Here is a 25,059-nt window from a genome sequence, read left to right as displayed (position 1 = left end):
CACGTGGAAGAGACAGTGCTAGCTTCTCAGCAGTGAAGCTGGGGCTAAGATTGGCATGTGCTCAGGGGGTCCTCTCTCCCAGACATGGGGTCATTGCCTTTGAAATCAAACATGGAATTTGCCGGGAGAATGGGTGTGATCATTGTCCCTCCTGCTTTAATTACCCCAGGTGGGGCAAGTAGGCTGACCTGGTTATTGGGCTGCCTAATGGTGCCCAGAGAGCCAGCCAAGGTGGATACGTGGGTACCAGCTGGAACCCTCGGGGTAGCTGCAAGCTGCCCTCTTCACCTTGCTCCTGAGCTCCGCATGGGGAAGAGCCCCAGGTGCAGGGAATGGCCCAACTGACTGCCCATTCTGTGGGCGTTGGTGTCTTCTCCCAACAGGTGACTGTGTGCTGGGTGGATGAGGCCGAGGCCAGCTCCACACGCTGCCTCTCCCCACAGGCTGAGCATGCCGGGGTCCGCACCTACTTCTTCAGTGCCGAGAGCCCCGAGGAGCAAGAGGCCTGGATCCAGGCCATGGGGGAGGCTGCTCGAGTACAGATCCCTCCAGCCCAGAAGTCAGTGCCCCAAGCTGTGCGGCACAGGTGAGTGCCAGGGAATTGAGTGTGGGGGTGCAGGAAGAATAAAGAGGGGAATGGAAGACACACCCAGCTCTGGGCCATTGCTAATCCCAGTGTGCCTACTTGAAGCCCTGGAGAATGTGTGAGCCGTCTCCTTGCATCCAGGCGGGAGGCCTGGCTGAGTGATTTCAGAGCCTGAAGTCTCTCTTCCCCTAGCCAGCTCCTCCTCTTCTCTCTGAGCTCGGGAAGGCCAAGAGAAAAGCCAGGTTCCATTGGGGTCTGGCCAGGAGCCAGAGGTCAGGGTCATTTGCTGGTTTTTCTCGGCTGTGTGTGTTAAGCACACCGCCTTTGGAGGAAAATAAACTCAGGTTTGAATCACACCTTGTCCACTTGGCTGTAGCGTGATCTCAGTGCAAGGGACTCACCCTCTCTGAACCCGAGGTTCCTCTGCTCAAAAACCAGCAAATACAACTCTACCTCATAGGGTTGTTGTGAGGCCTACACAGAGTGCGTGTAAAACACTCAACATGCAGTAAACTCTTAACATATGGCCGCTCCCATCGCCCGCCGTCACCCACGGTCTCAGCGTCTGTCTCTCCCTTAACTGGATGTGGAGTCTTGAGTTAGGTGCTAAGGGGGATCCAGGAAAAGGGGGTTTCACAGTGTAGGCTCCAAGTCCACATATCTTAGAAATGTTTACCAAGCAATGTTTCAACAATCCCACTTGAATATGTGGAGTTTGGGAAGCTGTAGGGGGAAAATTGTCACAAATTTCCATCTTCGCTTCAACCAAGGGGCATAATTCCAAGAGTTCATTCATTCATTTCACAAATACTTACTGTAAATATAAATGTGCAAGGCACTGTAGTGGGTGCTAGGAACACAGGGGAAGAAAGTCTGCCATGTTCCTACCCTTGTGGGGCCTGTATTCTCATGGAAAGTCAGTCCTGGAAGAAATGTGTTTTGGAGAAGGGAACTAGCGTGTTTATGTGCTTGTGAGTTTGAAAGCAGAAACTTCTGCTCCTGGTGCCCGCCATGTTTTATCTCACAGCAGTCCTAGGAGGGGAGCTATTATTATGCCCATTCTGCTGATGAGGAGCCCAAGACTCTTGGCAGTTAAATAACTTTCTATAAGAAAGACAGCTGCCCCGTGACAAGCCTTTGTCACTGGAGTATCAAGGACAGTTACTGATGTGAGTGCAAACCCAGTTTGGGGAGCTGGGTCAGGGATAGATCGCAGAGAGGACCAAGACTAGGTGAGGTTAGTCATGCCATAGCTTGAAGGCTGGGCTCAAAGCAGACTGACAGAGGGGAGTGGGGTGGAGAATGACCTGCAGAGAAGACGTGGGGGGCAGAGTTAACACAGCAGGTGTGGGCAGGGGCGGATTAGGTTGTATAATAATTTCCCAGGCTGGAGCGAGAAGGTGAAGGGGTGGGACTTAGGAAGCAGAACTGGAGTTCATAGAATCCTGGTTCCAGCCACCTCCCTGCCCATCCTTCCCCACTCCTCTTCTTCCCAGTCTGGCACCCCCTGCCCCACTCCATGCTGGGCTAGAGTCACTGACAGCATCTCCCTTGGCATCCTGCAGCCATGAGAAGCCAGACTCGGAGAACGTCCCACCCAGCAAGCACCACCAGCAGCCACCCCACAACAGCCTCCCTAAGCCTGAGCCAGAGGCCAAGACTCGAGGGGAGGGTGATGGCCGAGGCTGTGAGAAGGCAGAGAGAAGGCCTGAGAGGCCAGAAGTCAAGAAAGAGCCTCCGGTGAAAGCCAATGGCCTCCCAGCTGGACCGGAGCCAGCCTCAGAGCCGGGCAGCCCTTACCCCGAGGGCCCAAGAGTGCCAGGGGGTGGGGAACAGCCTGCCCAGCCCAATGGCTGGCAGTACCACTCCCCAAGCCGGCCAGGGAGCACAGCTTTCCCGTCTCAGGATGGAGAGACTGGGGGACACCGGCGGAGTTTCCCACCACGCACCAACCCTGACAAAATTGCCCAGCGCAAGAGCTCCATGAACCAGCTTCAGCAGTGGGTGAATCTGCGCCGGGGGGTACCCCCGCCTGAAGACCTTCGGAGGTGAGGCATGCCGGCGGCTGGGGTGGGGCTGATATGGTATTATGGCTAGAGCGTGCGAGTGGGGTCATAGCCCACGAGGCATCCCCTGTTGGAAACCTTCTGGAAGCAGGCTGAGTTGGGAAACCAAGCAAATCCCATGCTTCCTGGCTTGCCCAAATCCTGCCTGCCCCATGGCTCCACCATTAGAGTCTGGCTGCTGTCCCTGATTCTTGGTTTCTTTGTCTGCTTCCTTCAGAAGAAGGGACAGAGTGCCCCAGTGCCTCTCCACGGCGTGCTGGGGAGCCCAGAACACAGCAGGCTTTGGGAGGGGGCCTGAAGTTGTTATAGTCATACATCCATCCAAGCTATGGGCCCTCCTACAACATCCTCTCCCCAGTGCTCCACCCACTTGAGACTCACTAACTGCCAGACCAACTCATTCCATTTTTGAACAACTCTAATTGTTTTAAAGCCATGATTTATATGAAGTTAAAAAACAAAACAAAGTAGCTCATTGGTCCCAACATGGCCATCTATGACCATTTACGCCTTTATCCAATGACTGACTTTGAAATATCTGGGGACATTTATTGGGCCCAATGGTGTCCCTCAGGGCAAATGGGCTGCAGGCTCCTTCCCTGGGGATTTGGGCAGCTCCAGGGACTGCAGGCCACAGCTTCAGGAAGGCCATGGGGCCCGGGAGGAACCTGCCCTCTAGTGGCCTGAGCGGCTGCGCATTGCTGGTGGTCTGGTGCCTGGGAGCATCAGGCCTGCTCTGGGGAGAACCACTTGGGATGAGTCCCAAGAATCTACTGGTTCTGTCCCTGACAAGATCATACAGTCAGGAAGCTGGGCATGGTGGCTCACACCTGTGGTCCCAGCTACTACTCTACAGGTGGATGTGGGAGGATTGCTTGAGCCCAGGAGTTCAAGGCTGCAGTGAGCCTTGATGGCCCCACTGTATTCCAGGCTGGTGACAGAATGGACCTCATCTCTAAAATAATATAAAATAGATCAGGAAGCCGCCCTTTCTTTCATCCCTCCTACATTGCCCTCCTTCAGGTGCCTGGTAGACTTTCTTCTATTTGCCTCTCTCAGAAAAGATCTGATAAACTGGTTCATGCTGAGATGGAGATGGCTGATAAGGCTTCACGTTTCTTCCTAGGGATATGTCATTTTAAAGAGGCAAAGATTGAAGCTCTGAATGGTGCAGTGTCCAGCCTTGGGGAGTTGTTTGAGGAGGGGGGCTGTGAGGACAGGAGTCTTTCCCTCATCTCTGGAATAAACCTCAGCCCCTGTGTACCTATTCAAGCACCCTGCTCTAGGCTGGGGGACCTGGAGGTGGGGCTGGGGTGGGTGGAGGGGTGCCCGTGTTGTCTGCCTTCATTACAATGTCCCCTCTCTCTCAGTCCCTCTAGGTTCTATCCTGTGTCTCGCAGGGTCCCTGAGTACTATGGCCCCTACTCCTCCCAGTACCCCGATGATTATCAGTACTACCCGCCAGGAGTGCGGCCGGAGAGCATCTGTTCCATGCCGGCCTATGATCGGATCAGCCCGCCCTGGGCCCTGGAGGACAAGCGCCATGCCTTCCGCAATGGGGGTGGCCCTGCCTACCAGCTGCGAGAGTGGAAGGAGCCCGCCAGCTACGGGCGGCAGGATGCCACCGTCTGGATCCCAAGCCCCTCCCGGCAGCCAGTCTATTATGATGAGCTGGATGCCGCCTCTAGCTCCCTGCGCCGCCTGTCCCTGCAGCCCCGCTCCCACTCTGTGCCCCGCTCACCCAGCCAGGGCTCCTACAGCCGTGCCCGCATTTACTCCCCTGTCCGCTCACCCAGTGCCCGTTTTGAGCGGCTGCCACCTCGCAGTGAGGACATCTATGCTGACCCTGCTGCCTATGTGATGAGGCGATCCATCAGCTCCCCCAAGGTGAGCCACCAGCCTGCCCTTCCTTCCTCATCCCCTGAGGTCCCCAGAAGCCTAAGACCATCTACTGAGAAAAGGCAGAGATGTGGGAGCATCTGTGCCACGGGGCCACTGGGCCGTTTGTCTGCAGGACCAGCAGTGCTGCCCAGCGGAGCCCCTGGCCTGTGGTTCTGTCTGTAGGAGAGCTGTCTTGGGGATGGCTTTGCCTCTTGAGTGGGGACATTGCTTTCTGTACATGCCCCCAAGTTGTGCCAGATACCATGCCGTCATATAAGAGGGCAGAGAGGGTTCTGTCTTTTCAAATCTTGAGGACCTGGACAGATCATTGCAAGGGGGGCTGCTGTCCATTTCAGTTTGGGATCTGCTCTGGGAACTGAACACAAATACCTCTAACCTTGAGCTTCAGCTGTTGGGGAACTCCGTGTCCCAGCCAGACCCCTCACCTCTGCGATCCCTTTCTCTTCCAGTATGATTACCTGGGAGACAGGCGGCCAGTCCCTGCAGGACTGTTCCCCTACAACTACCCACCATCCCCCACGGTCCACGATAAGATGGTACGTCCTTTCTCCCCTCCACCTGTCTCAGGGCCTCCCCGCACCGTGCTCCACTCAGGGTGGAGCTAAACTGGGGCGGACTCCAGGGACGCTCTGTGCCTAGTGCCTGGCCTGGCTGGTTTTTAGCAGCCTCTGGATACCTCCTCCCTCCCAGCCAGGACTCTAGCCCCAGTATCAAGTTTGGTGCCAATAACCCCTTCTCCTCTGTGACACAGCCCGTGGAGGAGGGATGAGATCTGGGAGCATGTAATATCCTGGTCCCTCTCCTCTCCAGCATGCAGGAGAAGGGGCCTAGGCAGGAAAAATCAGGCCAGAGCTCCTAACAAGAAGCAAGATCTTCTAAACTTTTTTCCCCTGAAGCATAGTTATTTCATGTTTGTCCTTTGCCTGGAATGCCACTTTTGGGGAGAGATACAAGCGATATGATTGAGGAAGAAAAAATTTTCCGAATTGCATCTCCTCCTTTTTCTCTGCCTCTTTCTACTCGTGTCTCTCCCTGGAATTTGTTCTCCTGAGAACTTTTGCCACCACCTAGAGACCTAGATAAGATGCTCCACTTGGGAGGGTTGGGGAGGACCACTGGGACCAACAGGCAGAATCCTTTTCCAGAAAGCCTGTTGCTGACTCATTTCCATAACAGTACCAGGAGGCCAGAGTGGAGGAGGGCTGGGCAGGCTGGAGGCTAGGCGGCTGCTCCTTCCCCTCTCTGTCTGATTCTCACTCTGCCAGTGTCCACAGCATATAAGCTTTGCCCACAGCAAACACACGCACCCAGAAACAACCGATTTTTCCAGAAAACTCAGAAACAGCTGCTAACAAGTGCTGCCTAAATTGCTCTGATGACACTCACCTCTCCCAGGGAGGCCTAGGCAGACCTAGGAGAGATGGCACTGGGGTCTGCGTGTGCCCCTCCTCTCCTGGAGTGTCCAGTAGAGAACTACTTTGCCTGCCCACATCCTCAACCCCTCCCTTCCTGAGAACTCCTCAAGGGCAGAGGGAGAAGCCTCTCCTTGTCCTTGTCGCTAACTCTTAACTGCTTTGCTTCTTTTTTTATTGTTTTCTTTTGTGTGTTCCTGTTTGTTTGTGTTGCTGTTTGGCCTCTGGGCCTCGGGCTCCGGGTAGGATGAACTTTTAGATCTTCAGTTGCAAAGAAACCTAGAGTATTTGGATCAGCAGGTAGGCAGAGCTGGTGCCCCCCTTATCATCCCACTGCCTTCCTGTCGCATCTCTCCACTCCTCCCCACCTCCTCATCTTCCAGCCATTTGACAACCTTTGTTGGTGCAAGCAGGACACAACAAAGTGGCTTATGTTTTGGTTTGCGCCTACACACCCCTTCTCTTCAAAGCCCTTTAGGACAGCTGGGAGTTTCCTGGGGAAAGAAGCATAATAAGTAGGCACATGAATAATTAATGCCACCTCTTATTTCTCCAGTGCTCAGCTCAGATGGAACTGCCCCCAGGGGGCAGGTGGGAATTTGCATTTTTTCTGGCGAGAGGAGGGAGTCGCAGAGTCGAGGGAGCTCTAGGCTGGGCCTAAAATGCTAGGGATTTAGTTCAGCCTGAATCTGGGAAATCATCTTATCATATTTTACAGGTTGTTGTTAAACTCCATAATTGGTAAACTGAGGCCTGCAGACCCTCCCTAGGATGATTTTTAAAGTAATATTCACTCAGTGTATTCATTAGTTCCTCCAAAAGCCCTTTTGCATAAACAGCTCGTGCATTCCTGAGAATTCAGTGCAAACAGAGGGAGTATTATCAACCCAGTTTTACAGGTGAGCAAGCTGAAGAGGCAGTGAATGTTCCATGAGCTGCAAGCAGTGGCTGCCTGGTCTCTGCTCCGGGGTTCTAACCCTTTCTTGTCTTTTAAGCTAAGGGAGCTGTGAGACTGAGTTTAGACAGGCTGGGGGTCAATATGCTGGGTATTTATATAAGCACATACTCTTAAGTTTAGATCTGTGCTACAAACCACGACCTAGAAGTACACAACACTGTCCTGTGGAGGCAGCCTGGAGGGGTGGAAATAATAATAATAATAACAACAGCTACAATAATTGGATGCCTCCTCCATGCCCCATACTATTCTAAGCATTTTTCAGATCTTAACTCATTTAATCTTCACTATAACCCTGTAAGATGGATGCTATTATTACCCCCATTTTACAGCTGAGGAAACTAAAGCACAGAGAGGTTGAATAACATGCCAAGAACACACAGCCAGTGAACAGCCGAGCTTGGACAGTGACTCCAAGCTTCTGACCCAGTTTACAGCTGAGGAAACATCTAATGTGTGACAAAGCTGCTGTCAAACCTCATTAGGATGAGTTCATGCTCTTAAAGTTACAGAAAAAAAAAATTTTAAATGAGATGCTATAGCTGCAACTGTTGGTTCTTCTAGTCACAAGCCATGTGACCCATCTCACCAGGGCTTCATGTCGGTGTCGCAATTCGATTTTGTAATAGGCCTCAGGCACTAGGAAGCACCAATGTCCACAGTTCAATAAACAGGGATGGCTCCTGGCCCTGGAGGCCGTGGCATTCCAGCTCCAGAAGCAGCTCATTGTGTCCACACCATGAGCATTCTGGGCCATGTGGGAACAGATCCCAGGATTCCAACTCTGAGCAGGGCCGGGAGGTCCAGGATCCTGCTGATGGGAAACAAGATCCAAAGTGCCTTGCAGGGGTGAGGAGCAGGGCTCATGGCCCACCCACCTCCGGATTCCTGAGCAAGCTATCCTCCCTGTCACCCATGTGATTGGCTTTCTACTCCATCCACAATGCCCAGCTGTCCAAGCATTCAGTGCAGACAGCAGGGTCCCTTCCTGCGGGCTTTTGCCCTCACAGAGGGGCTGGTCCATTAGGCTAGGGGCTTCAGAACTAGCCTTCCAGAAGACTCCCTCATGGATAAAGGGTATTATTCCTTTTTGTTTGTTTGTTTGTTTTTGTTTTTGTTTTTTTTTTTTTTTTTGAGACAAGATCTCACTCTGTTGCCTAGGCTAGAGTATAGTGGCACAAACCTAGCTCACTGCAACCTCCACCTCCCAGGCTGAAGTGATCCTCCCACCTCAGCCTCCTGAGCAGCTAGGACTACAGACAGGTGTGCAGCCACCACACCTGGCTAATTAAAAAATTTTTTTTTGTAGAGATGGGTGTCCCACTGTACTGGCCAGGCTGGTCTCAAACTCCCAGCCTCAAGTGATCCTCTCACCTCTGCCTCTCAAAGTGCTAGGGTTATAGGCATGAGCCACTGTAGCTGGCCAAGTGTAGTACTCTTTTTTTTGAGAAGGAGTCTCGCCCTTTCACCCAGGCTGGAGTGCAGTGGCGCGATCTCGGCTCACTGTAGGCTTCGCCCCCAGGGTTCACGTAGGTAGTACTCTTAAAAGGCAGTCTTGTATGATGAGAAGAGTCCAGGACATAGTCAGACACTGCTGCTCTAGTTCTAGCTCTGCCATTTACAAGGAAGTTTGTTTTTTTTTTAATCTTGGAAATGTCACTTAGTTTCTCTGGGTCTTTGTTTTCTCAATCATAAAATGGGCATTGTAGAATCTGCCCTTTCCTTTCAACCTCACAGATGTATTGGGAGAATCAAGCAGGGGTGCATATGTGAGCTCTTTGTCAGGCATCGCAAGGAGTGACAGTCACCACTTGCTGCTGTTATTATTTTGTTTTTCCCAAACTCAAAAATATCAATGAGCACTCCTTACCATGTGTGAGGCACTGGGTTAGGTAGTTTCTTACAAAATCTAACATTTTGAAGAGACAGAAGGTAGCACACAAGAATCCTCCTAGAGGTAAGACCCACCTGTGCTGAAAGATCCCCAAAGCCGCAGCACAGGCGGGAGCAGGCCAGGATGAGAACACTCCTGCTCGCTTCCTCTACTGCTCTGGATCTGCGTGTTGGGGAAGGAATGAGATACCTACAGGTTACTGTGCATGGATGGCTCCTGGCCCTCAAGGCCCTTGCATTACAGGGCTAAAGAGGTAGAAAAATCAGTTCCTAGGAAAGCCTTTTGAAATGCTGCAGACCCTGCAAATGGGATGGTGGGTGCCCTTGCCCTGCCTACAACATGTAGAAGCAAGGCTGTATGTGGGCCGCTGCCTAAAAGGGGTAAGAGGAAGAAAGGACAGTGTGGGTGCAACTGAGATTGGAGAGATGACGGAAAAATCACAGGGGACCCTCTGAACAGAAACCCCAGATAATCTTCCCTAATGTGGCTCTTTCCTCCCTTTCTCATTCACTTTCCCTTCCAGAAAGCTTTCCCTGCACAACCCCCTCTGTCTTCTGCTGCCTTCCCCTGTAGAACAATGGAGTTAAAGGGACACAGCCAAAGACATTCCCTGATATCTTCACTTTTTGGTCCTTTCCCATTGGAACCAGTGGGGGAAATGATGGCATTTCTGGTTGATTGGTTGGCCTGCCCTTTCTCCCACCCCTCCTTTCCCTTCCTCTTCCTCCTCATCCCATCCCTTCTTCCATTTCTCTCTTTTTAAATTGGCAAATAGTCTTTCCACCTCCATGTTCCTAAGGATTCTTGAAATAGAAAGAATGTGTTGGAAAGCCTGGTGTCCCTTTAATGTGGCTTGCTTGTTTTGGCCTCCTTGTTTGCTCCCTAGCGTCATCCGAGATCCTCATGGATGCTGCCAGCCCAGCTCTGGAAACCGTGTTTAGCACTTTCTGCACTAGAGCCGAGGGTGGGGAGGGGCAGGGGCAGGGAGAGGGGGCAGGCCTCTGTATCTGTGGCGGCCCATCCAAAGAGCAGGTCCTAGATTTTCTTTTTTGGTTGTTTCACTTAGTTCAACTTTGGGGAGATCAGTCTTCCAACTGCCTCTATGGTCTTTGTCAAAAGTGGTGTGAGAAATGAGATCAGGGCAGGGAGATGACAACCGTGGCCAGTGCGGATGGGACAACAGCCAGGCACCCTGGGGAAGAGTCACCAGGCCCCAGCCTCTGCAGTGCCTCCAGCAAGGTCCCAGTGGCCTCCCGGCCCCTTCTGTGGCCTTTCTGCAAGGACAGCTTCAGTGCTGGTCCTGAAACAGAGGTCACTAGGGGTGAGCAAGGAGTGAGGGCAAGCTCAGGGTGCTGGGGGAGCTGCCCTCCCCTGTTTCCTGGGAAACAAGCACAGGTGGGTGAAGGGGAGATACCTACATGTAGGTCGGAGTGTGAATAGTCCGTTCCTTCCTCTGCTGCAGATGAGTGAGAGCGAGACTCTCATCAGTATGGTGAACCGCATGGTGGAAAACTCCTCCCCCAGGTCCCAACTCTTCATGCAAGTAAGACCTCTGCCTGGCAGCATGGTCCCTGCCAATGCCATTTCAGCTGCTTGTGCATGGTCGAGTTGCCCATCTAGGATGAGGCTCACGCCACCCAACCCGCTCATCTGCCTGGAGACAGGCTTGGCCTGGTCTTCCTTCCTTAATTCCACTATGTCACCTCCATTCTTCACTTTCATGGGTAAACCCAAGGCCCATTTCCCAAACCATCAAAATAGCCAGCACCAACATCTCATGCCATGCTGGGGATCGCAACTCTGCTCTTGAATGTTCTGATTTCGATTTCATATTTGTAACATCTTGACAGACGTCACTGGGGTTAAAGGCATGAGGGGTGTAATGGAACCATCTAATGTCAAAGGTGTATAGAATGTGCTGTGGTCACCAGATGTGGCGTCCAGGCTAGGCAGCATTTACTGGATCCGGAGACGCTTCTGAATTCTTGCCAATTTTTGTTTAGACACAAGCCCAGGTGTTCAGTCTACTAGGGCAATAGTTTTCAACTGTTCCCAATGCTCATTCCGACCATTCCCCTATGTCTTAACCCCACAGACAGCCATGGAGTTCACTGATGTTCTCATGGTGGTTACCAACAAGCCACTGGGAGCTGCACACCCTGCAGTCGCTCTTAGCAGCTGACCCTAGTGCTTGGGGGAGAGGAAATACAGAGCATGACTCAAGCAGAGTTCTGATCTCTCCGGAGTCAGCCTAGGACAACTGGGATGGGGTTAGGCCGGGCCATCCCAGGCTTCCAGCCAGGGGATGTGGAATGAGCTCAGGTCCCTGGAACAGAAGCTACCAGAGGTGACGGACCATGGTCTCTGGCAGGAGCACAGCGGGATTGTGATGTTAGCTTCCTATCCCTGCATACCCTCATCCTGCCCCTGCTGCAGTAACCGGCCTCATGTTCCTGCAGGTCCCTCCATACCCAGAAGTGTTCCGGGACAGCCTCCACACCTACAAGTTAAACGAGCAAGACACAGATGTAAGAGCAGCGCCCCCTGCTCCCTCCCTCCACTCCAGCCTCCTGCTGCTGTCCTCTGCGGGGGGCTGTCTCTCCATCCATCTCTCTTCCTCTGCGGGGGCTGTCTCTCCATCTATCTCTCTCCTTCTGGTGGCTTTTCATACCTTTGATTCATGTCTTCTCTCACCACAACAAGATTCTGCCTACCTCCTCCTCATCCCCCTTCTTTTCTGATCTACCACCCACTCACCCTTCCCTCCCATGCTGGCTGTATCCATTTCTCCACTGAGCGCTGGGCCGTTTTGCCTACGGCAGTGAGATCTGCTTGTAACATGAATGCAGACTTTGTTGGGAGATAGATCAGTCAGTCTATTCTGTGCCCAGCATGGCATTAGTCCCTACAGGTAACTAGAAAGGAGAATACGGCTATGCCCCTGGCTTCAGGGAGCTTCAGGGTAGTGGGAAGTGCCAGGTAGCAGCAGGAGGTGGCAACACGGTATTCATGTAGTGAAGGGGAGCCATAATAGGTTCTGCCAGGTGCAGGGAAGTGAGGCCGTGTGGGCTGAAGGTCAGGGACAAAACAAGCAGCATGTGAGTTAGGCCTTGAAGTTAAAAGGCCCAGAGGGTAAAATCTGGCTCAGTGGAAAGGAGCAAAGCAGGTATTTGAGGAATGGCATGAATAAAGGTGCGGACTAGGAAAGCATGAGCCCTCTTTCTGGCCTCACCTGTCTGCTCCCCATCACCACTGGCCCTGCTTGGGTAGTGGATCTGCCCAGTGAGACTGGGAGAGGATCCTTCCTGACAGGACTAGACCTCAGAGGGAGGATCAGCCATCCTGAGACTTTGAAGGGAGGAGGGAAGAACAGGATCTTGAGAGAGAAGGGAGAAGGTTCTGTGGGATTGAGGGACAGTTTCTATTGCTCACTGCTTTTCTAAGACTGCTTGTTCTGACACCCGGCCCACCTCTTCAGTCCAGCCTAAGAGGTGAGGTCATATCATCTCCTCAGTCCTTTGTGAATTGCAACCCTTGGAAGGATGGGGGTGCCAGAGTTTAACACTTGCCTCTCAGCCCTCTTAACCCAACTCACTTCCTCAGAGAGTAAGCATACCTCACCTCCCAAGATGAAGACCCATCTTCTTGTTCTCAGGAGCCACCAAGGGCAAGGTGAAGGCCCAGGGTTCCTCAGCAGGAGAAAGGAGGGGGGTATCCAGAGGCCAGGCCTATAACTCCCAGGTCCCCATCAAACTATGTCCTTCATCCCCTTCTTTCTCCCTCTCCTTCTCCACTCTCTGGGTCCCTAGAAGCTGCTGGGAAAATTGTGTGAGCAGAACAAGGTGGTGAGGGAGCAGGACCGGCTGGTGCAGCAGCTCCGAGCTGAGAAGGTGAGAAGCTGGGGGTGGCTTTAAGCTGGGGCAGATGGGCGAGGCTGGCTTGGAGAAGGTTGTGGGCTGCTGTCTCCAACCTGACTGAGATGACAAAGCAAGGACAGCTTCCACTCAGCTGCCTGTTGAACCTCTAAGGGCTCAGGCCTCTGCTGTTCAATCCCAGAGAGGAGCTGTCAGGGCTGCTCATGTCATTCCCCTGCCTTTCTTCAGGAGAGCCTGGAAAGTGCCTTGATGGGGACCCACCAGGAGCTGGAGATGTTTGGAAGCCAGCCCGCCTACCCAGAAAAGCTGCGACACAAAAAGGATTCACTGCAGAACCAGCTCATCAACATCCGCGTGGAGCTGTCTCAGGCGACCACGGTAACCCAGGGAGCGGGGTTCGTGCACCCCACCTCATCAGCACTAGGCAGCAGGGCCACCACCTCCCAGCTTGTGCTGTCCTAGTCCAGTTTTCCTCAGAGGACAAGAGCTGAGTACTCCCGTGCAGAGGGGCATAAACAAAGACCTCAATATTGCCCTGCAAATAAATAGCAAGTCAGCCAGTCTGCTCATTCCAGTCTCCACCGAGGAAATGAGCTTATTTCCCACAAACTATACCTGTACCTGGATTTCTTTGGGACAGCATGAAGTTGTGAGTTACTTATTTCCTTGGCTGTGCTAACACCTCTGCTGCCCACTTCTGTCTTCTCCCTCGGAGAAGCAAAGCACTGGCAAAAAGGCTGCTGCCAGCTGGCCTCAGTGGCTCACGCCTATAATCCCAGCACTTTGGGAGGCCAAGGCGGGTGGATCACCTGAGGGTGGGAGTTTGAGACCAGCCTGACCTACATGGAGAAACCCTGTCTCTACTAAAAATACAAAATTAGCCGGTTGTGGTGGCACACACCTGTAGTCCCAGATAGGAGGCTGAGGCAGGAGAATTGCTTGAACCCATGAGGCGGAGGTTGCCGTGAGCCGAGATCGCACCATTGCACTCCAGCCTGGGCAACAAGAGTGAAACTCCATCTCAAAAAAAAAAAAAAAAAAAAGGCTGCTGCCCTGGTCACTACTTCCCAGCAGGTAAGGGCAGACCTTCCGACACAGACTGCTTGGAGAATGGCTCCAAGAAGCAGCAGAAAAAGCCCCGTGAAAGTGTGGCTCGGAAAGGAGGAAGCTCTCTAACCTCTGAATAATAAATATCCTCCTTCAGGCTCTTTTCTCTTTGACCTCCACTTAAATTTTTTTTTTTTTAAGAACAGGGTCTCACTGTGTCACCCAGGCTGGAGTGCAGTAGCACAAACACAGCTCACTGCAATCTTGACCTCCAGGGCTCAAGTGATCTCCTGCCTCAGCCCCCAAGTCGCCAGGACTACAGGGGTGCGCCACCATGCCCAGCTAACTTTTGTAATTTGTAGAGATGGGGTCTTGTCATTTTCCCCAGGCTATGCCCTCTACTTTTTATCCGCTGATCTGGGGAGAATAGGAGGGTATGGAAGTGATATCATCCCTCTCCATTTTCTCTTTATTTCAGTTGGTGGTGGGATGGGCTGTTACATCTCTTGTAAGGCTAGTGTTTGGCTGTCACCAGAATGTCTCAGCCTGGTGCCCCTCTCCTTCGGTCCCTCCATGCCCTCTTCCCCAGATCTTTGTGCCTCTGGTACCCTGGCCCCAGGGTCCATTGCAGGATAAGGAGGAATGCCTTGGTGATGGCGGCTTTCTCAGTGAACGCCTCTTTCCCCCGTAGGCCCTGACAAACAGCACCATAGAGTATGAGCACCTCGAGTCTGAGGTCTCTGCCCTGCACGATGACCTCTGGGAGCAGCTCAATTTGGACACCCAGGTGAAGAAGGGCCCCTGAGCTGGCGGGGATTGGGATGTGACTAAAGATGAGGAGTTGGCCTCGAGACAAAAGCAAAGGTTCCGGCCATTGATAACAGACTCTAAGTTTCAGGATGAAGATAATGGGACGCTTTAGGTTCATCTCACAGGGGAAGGAGTTAAAGCTGAAGCTTGGGAGACTTCAGTTAGACACAGGTGTTTTATGACTGAAAGGATTTTTTTTCCTCTTGGGATGGGGTCTTGCTCTGTTGCCCAGGTTGGAGTGCAGTGGCGCAGTCACAGCTCACTGCAGCCTTGACTGCCCCGGGCTCAAGCAATCCTCCCACCTCAGCCTCCTGAGTAGCTGGGACCACAGTCATGAACCACCATGCTTGGCTAGTTTTTGTATTTTTTGTAGAGTCAGGGTCTCCCTGTGTTGGCCGGGCTGGTCTCTAACTCCTGAGCTCAAGTGATCCTCCTGCCTCAGACTCCCAAACTGCTGGGATTACAGGCATGAGCCACTGTGCCCAGCAGGATTTAAAAACAGACGTGTAAATATAAATAACTCAGGCATTAGAAGAGTAGGCGCTGCGGGAGCAATCTGCTCAGGAATTTTTAGATAGGAGAGAGGCTTTTCTTCCTGGGGTGGGTTAGAAACAGTCTGCCTGGAGGCAGGAGGATTGACATGATGATCTTGGGGAGTTCTTGTTCTTTTCTTCCCTCTGCCTTTTCTTCACCCAGGCCCTGCCTCTTCTCTAGCTAGTTTGCAAGCCCTGTCTCTCTGATGCAGTTAACACCCTGGTTTCCCCCATTTTCTTCTGTTTCCCTCCTGGTAATGCTACTCACCACCCCTACCTTGCAGCTGGTTAGGTAGGGTGAAGACCCACCTGGTCCAGAAGACCCAAATACCACCATGTCCCGTGGCCAAGCCTCACTTGAAACACAGACATTTTAGTAGGGGGGATAGGGTTGTGGTCAAGGGCGCTAACTTCGGGTCCAAATAGACCCATATTGAGATGATGGTCATGCTGCTTACTAAATAGATGGCCTTGGGTGTAAGTCTCTTCATCTCTGAAGAGGGGATAGCTGCTGCCCTTATCTCCTAGAGTCATGCAGCCGAAATGAGTTAGCACTGTATATGCAAATTGCTTAGCATAGTGCCTGGTGCTGAGGGATGCTAAATAAATGGGAGGTCTTACCTTTTAGACTGTCAACTGTAATTGAATTCATGACTCTTCAGGCGTACGCTGGGAGTGGGTATTAGAAAAGGGCTGTTTGGATGTGAAGAAAAGCAGTAAAATGGAAGCTCTTGCCCCACGAAAAACAGGATACCATAAAGTGTTCACTTAGATGGGCATTCACTCGAAAACCACCCATCTTTCCCCTGAGGGAGCTCGGAAGGGTGCGTCCTCAGTCTTGGTTCAGAAACTCGGGCAATTCTGGGGTGCCATCTCCTAGAGGCTGAAGAGCAGAGGCAGCCCATGGGAAAGATGACTGCTGGAGGGGCATGTGTGTGTGTGTGTGTGTGTGTGTGTGTGTACACAGGGTGCCTGCCTCCTGCTGGCCCAAAGGGATGTGGGTTCCAAGGGGTCTGGGCTGAGAGAAAGGGCTGGACACTCCTCATGGCCATTTCCTTTGACTCACTGTGTGGCTGCTTCAGAATGAGGTGCTGAACCGGCAAATCCAAAAGGAGATCTGGAGGATCCAGGACGTGATGGAGGGGCTGAGGAAGAACAACCCCTCCCGGGGCACGGACACCGCCAAGCACAGAGGTGGGTGCCTCCTGTGCCAGCCTCCTAGGCTGCCTGCCTCACCAGGAGTGCTCCAGTATTTCTGACCTCCATCCCACTCCTGCCAGCTCACACTGTGTTCAGAGCCAGGCAGGGCCTTCTTGGGACACCAGAATCTTCCCCTGGGTTCTAGGGTGGTAGGTAGGGGTCCCTTACCCCCCACAGAATAGACCAAATAAACAACTCAGAGACACTGTTGACCCTGACACTCTAAAGTCCTCCCCAGAAAAGGTCAAAAGCACCTAAGCCTCCCCAGCCCCCAAGCACATGGGCCCACTTGTGACATGTGACCCCTACCTTAGAGTTTTCCTTGAGCCCTGGGACCTCAGACTGGCTTTCCTTGACACCTCAGGGACAACAGTATCAGTTCCATCTACCGTCTTCCCCACCCAGCACACCTCTCAACAGCCAGCCTGTGGCCCCAGAACCTGTAATGAGCCCCTTTGGCAGGCCCAGGTAGCCCTGAGACACTAAATCTGCCCTTCCACATCCCTGGATCTGGCTTCTCCCTGCCACCTCCACTCACAGTGCCCATCTACCCACCAGGCCGCACCCCTCCTCCATTGCTCACCCATCCCCTTGTTTCCCCCAAGGAGGACTTGGCCCCTCAGCCACCTACAGCTCCAACAGCCCGGCCAGCCCCCTCAGCTCTGCCAGCCTCACCAGCCCCCTGAGCCCCTTTTCACTGGTGTCGGGCTCTCAGGGGTCCCCCACCAAGCCTGGCTCCAACGAGGTAAGTTGAGAAATGGAGTAGAAGGTAGGTGGGGGAGGGAGGACCAGATCCTCGTTTGTCTGAAACTATACAACTTCTGTGCCCATCTCTTCCCCACAGGCCTCCAGCCCTAGTGCTGGAGCTCTTTGTTTAAGGAGGTCATTCTCACACCCCATTTTGTGAACTTCTCTCCAGGTTTCCCCTTTACCTGTTCTCATCTCCATCTGTCATCTTTAGCTCCCTTGCAGTGAAGCCTGTTCCTGGGCACCAGGATGGATAGCAGACAGCATGCATTTCACAAGAATTTAAATCTAGGATGATACCAGGATAGCAACAGGGTTAAGGGTCAGTGTGGGGAGCAGTTTCCTAGTCAGTCAATCAGCAAGTGTTTTCTGGGGCTCGACTGTGGGCATGGGGTACCATGAGGCCCTCTTAGAAAGATACACACGTGGCAGGGTGCGTAATCGTGTAATCCCAGCATTTTGGGAGGCCAAGGCGGGTGGATCGCTAGGTCAGGATATAGAGACTGTCCCGGCCAACATGGTGAAACCCCATCTTTACTAAAAAAAAAAAAAAAATACAAAAATTAGCTGAGCGTGGTGGCGCGCGCCTGTAGTCCCAGCTACTCAGGAGGCTGAGGCAGGAGAATTGCTTGAACCCAGGAGGTGGAGGTTTCAGTGAACCAAGATCGCACCACTGTACTTCAGCCTGGTGACAGAGGGAGACTCCATCTCAAAAAATAATAATAAAAAATAAAAGAAAGAGGCTGGGCGTGGTGGCTCACGCCTGTAATCCCAGAACTTTGGGTGGCTGAGGTGGGTGGATCACGAGGTCAGGAGATCAAGACCATCCTGGCTAACACAGTGAAACCCTGTCTCTACTAAAAAATACAAAAAATTAGCCGGGCGTGGTGGCTGGTGCCTGTAGTCCCAGCTACTCCGGAGGCTGAGCCAGGAGAATGGCGTGAACCCATGAGGCGGAGCTTGCAGTGAGCCGAGATTGCGCCACTGCACTTCAGCCTGGGTGACAGAGCCAGACTCCATCTCAAAAAAATAATAATAATAAAAGAAAAAAGAAAAATAAAATAAAGATACGCACATGTGCTCAAAGGCTTCACTCAGGGAGCCCAGCATCCTATGGACCAAGACCAATTCATAGGAACATGACGGCATATGTCTCAACATTAAGCCACATGGTTCAGACTGTAAACGCCCTGATGTTCCAACAGACAGTGGGGCCTAAACCAGGCCACAGAGCAGCAAGACAGGGAGAGGAACAAGGGAAAGGCATTCTAGGCAGGAGAGTGGGTGGAAGCAAAAGGGTGGGAGAGGAGCTGCCTGGCATGGGGGCGAGGCAATGAGAGAGCTTTGGGGAAAACTTGGGGAGCAGTGGGGAGTGGTGGACAGGTAGAGGCTGGGTCAAGGAAGGCCTTGAAGGTCAGGCAGAGAGTTGGCTTCAGAGCTGGCACTCTCTTCAGGCCACGGGTGGGAGTGCAGTGGTCCCAGGGGCCCACCCAGGTCTCCAGCAATGTTGTTGTCTGCCTCCTGCTAACGCTCTTTTCTCCTGCTCTCACAGTGGCTGCTCTTGTTCCTCCTAATGCTCTGGCTTCTGTCTGCCTCAGGAACCTGGCCCGCCTCGGCCTCCCCTCCCCAAAGCCTACGTCCCCCTGGAGTCTCCTCCAGCCGTCCCTCCACTCCCTAGCGAGAGCCGCTTCTGGCCCTACCCCAGCTCCCCTTCCTGGCACCGCAGTGGCGAGACAGCCAGGGGGCAGGTACCCATCACCCTTGGGTCCTGGAGGGTGGGGCAGGGGACAATGGGCAAAGGGCCAGGCCAAGGGGCAAGGCAGGGCCCTGGAGTCATTTTCCCCATTAATTTTCCCAAAGGTCGGTTTCTACGGCACCCCTGCCCAGCTGGACTCTGGGATAAGGAAAGGATAGTTGAAGCCATCATACAGGCCATCTTTCTGTGCCTTTTTGCTTTCTGTAGGTGATGGGGACATGAGTTACTGCTCCAACCCCAGGCTCATGGGCAGCCAGTGTTTGTGGGTGCTGGTATTAAGCCCCACTCCCTACCAACATGACCAGCCAATGGGGACTGAGTGATACTCTCAGCAGTGCCATTCCGATCCCTTCGTGTGCCCATCCCAGGCCCCACTCCACCCATGCTGTCTCTCTGCCTCCACTTTGTGTTGTATCCTCGTTGGGTTTCATGAGTCCCTGTAGTATAAGGATACAGGCCCTTTTCTCTCCTGTTCTGGCTCATTCTCTCACCTGCATCCCTAGCCAAGATCCAGGAGATATGCAGTTAGGTTTGGAAGAGGTTGTGTGGTGAGTAGAAAGAGTCCTGTGCCTAAAATTGGAAAACTCATATGCTCATCTAGGTTTAGCTATGTATAATTTGCATAACCCTTGAGTGTTTGCCTGGTGAGATGGGCAGAGCAGGTAATGTTACCCGTATGTGACAGGTGAAGAAAGGGGACCTCTGTTCTCTAGTTGGGCTAGAACTGGAGCTGCTGACCTTTAGCCTGGTCTTCTTTTTGTATTCTTCTCACTGAGGCTTAGATTCTTCAACTGTACCATGGGAGCAGTGGCTCAGATGATGGCTGAGGTCTCTTCTAGTCTCATGTTTTTGTGAGCCCACACACTAAGTGCCCTTTTCATTTCCCTAGAATCCTGGTACCAAGGCCCGCCTGGTTCTGTTTGCTCATGTCTTGGGTAGGATTCCCTACAGGATCCTCAGAGACCCCCCACCGGCCATTCCTTGAATCTGGCTCACAGCAAGTCTGTGGTTCTTAGTGCCAGCCAAGACAAATGGTCAGGTTGAGGGGCCTCCTAGGGGCCATGAGCAATCATTCCTCAAGATGGCCCATCATTGACCAGTCTTAAAGTGCACGAATGGGAGGCTCCAGTGCATTCCTGTCCGCCTCCCAGGCGGCACACATAGAATTTCCTTGTTCCTTGTATCTGCAAGGGTTTGAGCTTCAACCATTAAAAAACAAAGAAACATCACTGGGGGCCAAGTTCCTGACAGCCATACTAACATCAACCATCTTCTCACCCTTTCTCCCCAGCCCAAGGCAAACTATGAACAAAGCAAGAAAGACCCCCACCAGACATTGCCCCTGGACACCCCCAGAGACATCAGCCTTGTGCCCACCAGGCAAGAGGTAGAGGCAGAGAAGCAGGCAGCTCTCAACAAAGGTACTTTCTGTCCCATCTTCCCCTAGAAGTAAGGCAAGGATGCTCAGGGAGGAGCCCTGGGTGCTCATTCACACCCAAAACCTGGTGCCACACCCTGGGCTTTTTAATCTCGGTGGAGAGTGGGGCTGAGATTGTCTCTGAGAAGGAGGCTTCCTGCCTTCCTGCTCTCCATGAGGCCCACTGGCTACTCTGTCTTTCTGCAGTTGGCGTTGTGCCCCCTCGGACAAAATCGCCCACTGATGATGAGGTGACCCCATCAGCAGTGGTAAGAAGGAATGCCAGTGGGCTCACCAATGGACTCTCCTCCCAGGTGGGTACCTCTGCAAGCTCATGCAGGCCTGAGCTGGGCTGCGAGCCCAGGGGCCTGTGTGTGTACCTACTCATCTCCCTCTGCTGTTCAAGAAATTCAGGGCTGGAGAGGAAGGTGGAACACGTGAGAGGAGGGGCAAGAGCCCCACTGGAGGAGGAGCTCTCCTGCAGGGAGATGTGTCAGGGGATGAGGAAGCTATGCTGCATTGGTCAGGGTTCTCTAGAGGGACAGAACTAATAAGATATATAATATATATGTGTAAAGGGGAGTTTAGTAAGTATTAACTTACATGCTGACAAGGTCCCACAATAGGCTGTCTACAAGCTGAGGAGCAAGAAGAGCCAGTCTGAGTTCCAAAACTGAAGAACTTGGAGTCCGATGTTTGAGGGCAGGAAGCATCCAGCACGGGAGAAAAATGTAGGCTGGGAGGCTAGGCCAGTCTCTCCTTTTCATGTTTTTCTGCCTGCTTTATATTCACTGGCAGCTGATTAGATTGTGCCCACCAGATTAAGGGTAGCTCTGCCTTCCCCAGCATGTTAATCTGTTTTGGCAACACCCTCACAGACACACCCAGGATCAATACTTTGTATCCTTCAATCCAGCCAAGTTGACACTCAATATTAATCATCACAAGTCCACCCCTTGTCAACTTGAACCCATACACATCTCCTGAGATCATACATAATCTTCAAATAAAGACAATAATAAGGTCATAATTACACCTAACATAATACGACTATCCTTTGTACAACAGGAAATGCACCAATCCCCAACCCAAATACTATTACATAAAGTTAACAATACTTCAATGCTTATGTGAGGTCAATAAATCCTATGTCATATGATAAAGGAAAAGGAAATGAAATAAAGATATTTCCTTAGCACAAGTGTATACATGCACAAACATATTTTTAGCAAAAGAAGGAGGAAATACTCATGACCATTACAGTCCCTGCTTCTGCAGCTGGTCACGTGGTCATAGCAGATATTGATGACTACTTTCTTTTGCTATCCATTCTGTATTCACTTTGCCTTCAGCAAGCACCTCAGCAGGTCATGGTGTTTTTCCTGGTGGAGTGACCAAACCTTCATTCCTGAGGGGTCTGGGCCATTTGTAGTCCTGCCTGGATTAAGCTGTTGTAGTTTCCCATTGACCTTAATCACAGGATCTCTTAATACTAAGAGATGCCCTAATGGATCTCCTGTATTCCATGCATATTCCTCCTTATTTCCATTGTGGAGTGGTAGACTGATTTCATCTTGATAGTCCAGGTCAATCACCCTAGCCAACACTATAACTCCCTTCTTAGCCTGTTGATTTAAAGGTACGAGGAATCTAAAGTGTCCAGGTGGCAATCTTAACTTCTAGTTTAATGGAATCGTTGTGTTTCCTGGTAGCAGCGTTCCTCCCTCTGGAACGAAGACCCGTAGGCCAGCAGAACATAATGTCATGGGAAAAGGAAGCAAAAATTTTGTTAGTGGATCACTAGGGGTGATGGTGAGTGGTGCCACTTCCACTTCCACCCCTTGATTCCTGGACCCGTAAATCCTGGCTATGGGAGAAAAAGTACCATATATTGGATGCTGATTCAGAACATACATGGCCTTCTGAAGAACTTTGCACCAGCCCTGCAAAGTATTGTCACCTAGTTGGTGTTGTAATTGTGACTTCAAAAGGCCATTCCACCGTTTTATCAATCCAGCTGCTTCAGGATGATGGATAACATAGTAAGACCAGTGAATTCCATGAGCATGAGCCCACTGCCACACTTTTTTTTAGCTGCAAAGTGAGTGCTTGGTCAGAGGCAAGGCTGTGTGGAATACCATGACGGTGGATAAGGCATTCCGTGAGTCCATGGATGGTTGTCTTGGCAGAAGCATTGCATACAGGATAGGCAAACCCATATCTGGAGTGAGTGTCTATTCCAGTGAGGACAAACCTCTGCCCTTTCCATGATGGAAGAGGTCCAATATAATCAACCTGCCACCAGGTAGCTGGTTGTTCACCCCAAGGAATCGTGCCATATCAAGGGCTCAATGTTGGTTTCTGCTGCTGGCAAATTGGGCACTCAGCAGTGGCCATAGCCAGGACAGCCTTGGTGAGTGGAAGTCCATGTTGCTGAGTCCATGTGTAACCCCCATCCCTGCCACCATGGCCACTTTTTTCATGGACCCATTGGGTGGCTGGGAAAAGAGGCTGAGTGGTGTCCACAGAATGGGTCATCCTATCCACTTGATTATTAAAATCCTTCTCTGCTGAGGTCACCCTTTGATGAGCACTCACATAGGATACAAATATCTTCATGGTTTTTGACCACTCACAGAGTTCCATCCACATACCTCTTCCCCAAATTTCTTTGTCACCAATTTTCCAGTCATACTTCTTCAAAGTCCCTGACCATCCAGCCAAACCATTGGCTACAGCCCATGAATCAGTATATAATCGCACATCTGGCCATTTCTCCTTCCATGCAAAGTGCACAGCCAGGTGCACTGCTTGAAGTTCTGCCCACTGGGAAGATTTCCCTTCACTGCTATTCTTCAGGGATGTCCTAGAAAGGGGCTGTAGTGCTGCAGCTGTCTACTTTCGGGTGGTGCCTGCATATCTTGCAGAACCATCTGTGAACCAGGCCTCAGTCTTCTCTTCCTCTGTCAACTGATCATAGGGAACTCCCCATGAGTCCATCAGTGCAGGGTAGGGGAGAGAAGGCATGGTGGCAGGAGTGGAGGCCATGGGCATTTGAGCCACTTCCTCATGTAACTTACTTGTGCCTTCAGGACCTGCTCGAGCCTGATCACATATATACCACTTCCATTTGATGATGGAATGCTGCTGTGCACCACCCACTTTATGGCTAGATGGGTCAGAAAGCACCCTGTTCATGATAGGCAGTTCAGGTCGCATGGTGACTTGGTGACCCATAGTCAAACGTTCAGTTTCCACCAAAGCCCAGTAACAGACCAACAGGTGTCTCTCAAAAGGAGAGTAGTTAGCTGCAGAAGATGGCAGGGCCTTGCTCCAAAATCCTAGGGGCTTCTGCTGTGATTCACCTATGGGGGCCTGCCAAAGGCTCCAAACAGCATCCCGATCTGTCACTGACACCTCAAGCACCATTGGATCCGCTGGGTCATATGGCCCAGTTGGCACAGCAGCTTGCACAGCAGCCTGGACCTGTTGCAGAGCCTTTTCCCATTCTGGACCCCACTCAAAATTGGCAGCCTTTCAGGTCACTTGATAAATGGGCCAGAGCAACACACCAAATGAGGAATATGTTGCTTCCAAATTCCAAATAGGCCTACTAGACTGTGCCTCTTTCTTGGTTGTAGGAGGGGCCAAATGCAGCAACATATCCTTCGCCTTAGAAGGAATATCTCAACAGGCCCCATACCACTGTACCCCTGGAAATTTTACTGAGGTAGAAGTTCCCTGAATTTTAGTCGGATTTATTTCCCATCCTCTGGCATGCAAATGTCTTGTCAATAAGTCCAGTGTGTTTGCTACTTTTTGCTCACTGGATCCAATCAGCATAAGGTCATCAATGTAATGAACCAGTGTGATATCTTGCGGAAGCAAAAAGTGATCAAGGTCTTTCTGAATAAGATTATCACACAAAGCTGGAGAGTTGATACACCCCTGAGGTAGGACAGTAAAGGTATATTGTTGGCCTTGCCAGCTGAAGGCAAATTGCTTCTGGTGGGCCTTATGGACAGGAATGGAAAAAAGAGCATTTGCCTTGTCAATGGCTGCATACCAGGTACCAGGAGATGTGTTAATTTGCTTAAGCAGTGAAACCACATCTGGTACAGGCAGCTGCAATTGGAGTCACCACTTGGTTAAGCTCACAATAATCCATTGTCATTCTCCAAGATCCATGAGTCTTCTGCACAGGCCAAATGGGAGAGTTGAATGGGGATGTGGTGGGAATCATCACCCCTGCATCTTTCAAGTCCTTGATTGTGGCACTAATCTCCGCAATCCCTCCAGGGATGTGATATTGTTTTTGATTTACTATTTTTCTAGATAGAGTCAGCTCTAATGGCTTCTATTTGGCCTTTCCCACCATCATAGCCCTCACCCTACCAGTCAGGGAGCCAATGTGGGGGTTCTTCCAGCTGCTAAGTATATCTATGCCAATTATGCATTCTGGCACTGGGGAAATGACCATAGGATGAGTCTGGGAACCCACTGGACCCACTGTAAGTTGTACCTGAGCTAAAACTCCATTAATTACCTGACCTCCATAAGCTCCTACTTTAACTGGAGGACCACAATAACGTTTTGGGTCCCCTGGAATCAACATCAGCTCAGAGCCAGTGTCCAGTAGTCCTTGAAATGTCTAATCACTTCCCTTTCCCCAATGCACAGTCACCCTGGTAAAAGGCCAGAGGTCTCCTTGGAGAAGGATAGAAGAAAGATTCACTGCATAAATTGTTGGTAATATAGTGGGGTCCTTCCTCAAGAGGACCCTGCCTCCCCTTCATTCAAGGGGTTATGCATCTGTAAACTGGCTCAAGAATGGAAATTGACTGAGAGGCTGTGAT

The 25,059-nt window shown here is 51.6% G+C and overlaps 1 protein-coding gene across 31 annotated transcripts in view, besides 2 other annotated features; it reads left to right on the top strand.

Moving 5' to 3' along the window:
* The window catches only part of PLEKHA6 (pleckstrin homology domain containing A6), a 159,316-nt gene that overhangs the window by 116,277 nt on the left and 17,980 nt on the right, over positions 1–25,059 (top strand). For 10 of the 31 annotated variants that reach the window (XM_047449464.1, XM_047449463.1, XM_047449467.1 and 7 more), the window contains 11 exons: positions 384–586; positions 2,152–2,634; positions 4,023–4,539; positions 11,278–11,346; positions 12,628–12,708; positions 12,922–13,071; positions 14,432–14,527; positions 16,166–16,277; positions 16,889–17,028; positions 20,078–20,207; positions 20,411–20,517. In XM_047449464.1, coding sequence (XP_047305420.1) covers positions 384–586; positions 2,152–2,634; positions 4,023–4,539; positions 11,278–11,346; positions 12,628–12,708; positions 12,922–13,071; positions 14,432–14,527; positions 16,166–16,277; positions 16,889–17,028; positions 20,078–20,207; positions 20,411–20,517 — 2,088 coding nt within the window. Of the gene's footprint in view, positions 1–383; positions 587–2,151; positions 2,635–4,022; positions 4,540–5,003; positions 5,091–6,212; positions 6,267–10,280; positions 10,362–11,277; positions 11,347–12,627; positions 12,709–12,921; positions 13,072–14,431; positions 14,528–16,165; positions 16,278–16,888; positions 17,029–18,628; positions 18,779–20,077; positions 20,208–20,410; positions 20,518–25,059 lie in introns of all 31 variants that reach the window. The other 21 variants (XM_011509297.4, XM_006711221.4, XM_011509304.4 and 18 more) reach the window with 7 other exon arrangements.
* Positions 7,244–7,743: an enhancer, noted in NCBI's record as "H3K4me1 hESC enhancer chr1:204223277-204223776 (GRCh37/hg19 assembly coordinates)". NCBI's record gives its function as "activates a minimal SCP1, AML or CMV promoter by ChIP-STARR-seq in primed H9 embryonic stem cells {active_cell/tissue: H9 hESC(primed)}" and the evidence as "EXISTENCE:reporter gene assay evidence [ECO:0000049][PMID:30033119]".
* Positions 7,744–8,245: an enhancer, noted in NCBI's record as "H3K4me1 hESC enhancer chr1:204222775-204223276 (GRCh37/hg19 assembly coordinates)". NCBI's record gives its function as "activates a minimal SCP1, AML or CMV promoter by ChIP-STARR-seq in primed H9 embryonic stem cells {active_cell/tissue: H9 hESC(primed)}" and the evidence as "EXISTENCE:reporter gene assay evidence [ECO:0000049][PMID:30033119]".

Source organism: Homo sapiens, chromosome 1 (assembly GCF_000001405.40).
Source record: "Homo sapiens chromosome 1, GRCh38.p14 Primary Assembly".
Lineage (NCBI taxonomy): Eukaryota > Metazoa > Chordata > Mammalia > Primates > Hominidae > Homo > Homo sapiens.
This window is presented reverse-complemented; position numbering and strand designations above follow the sequence as displayed.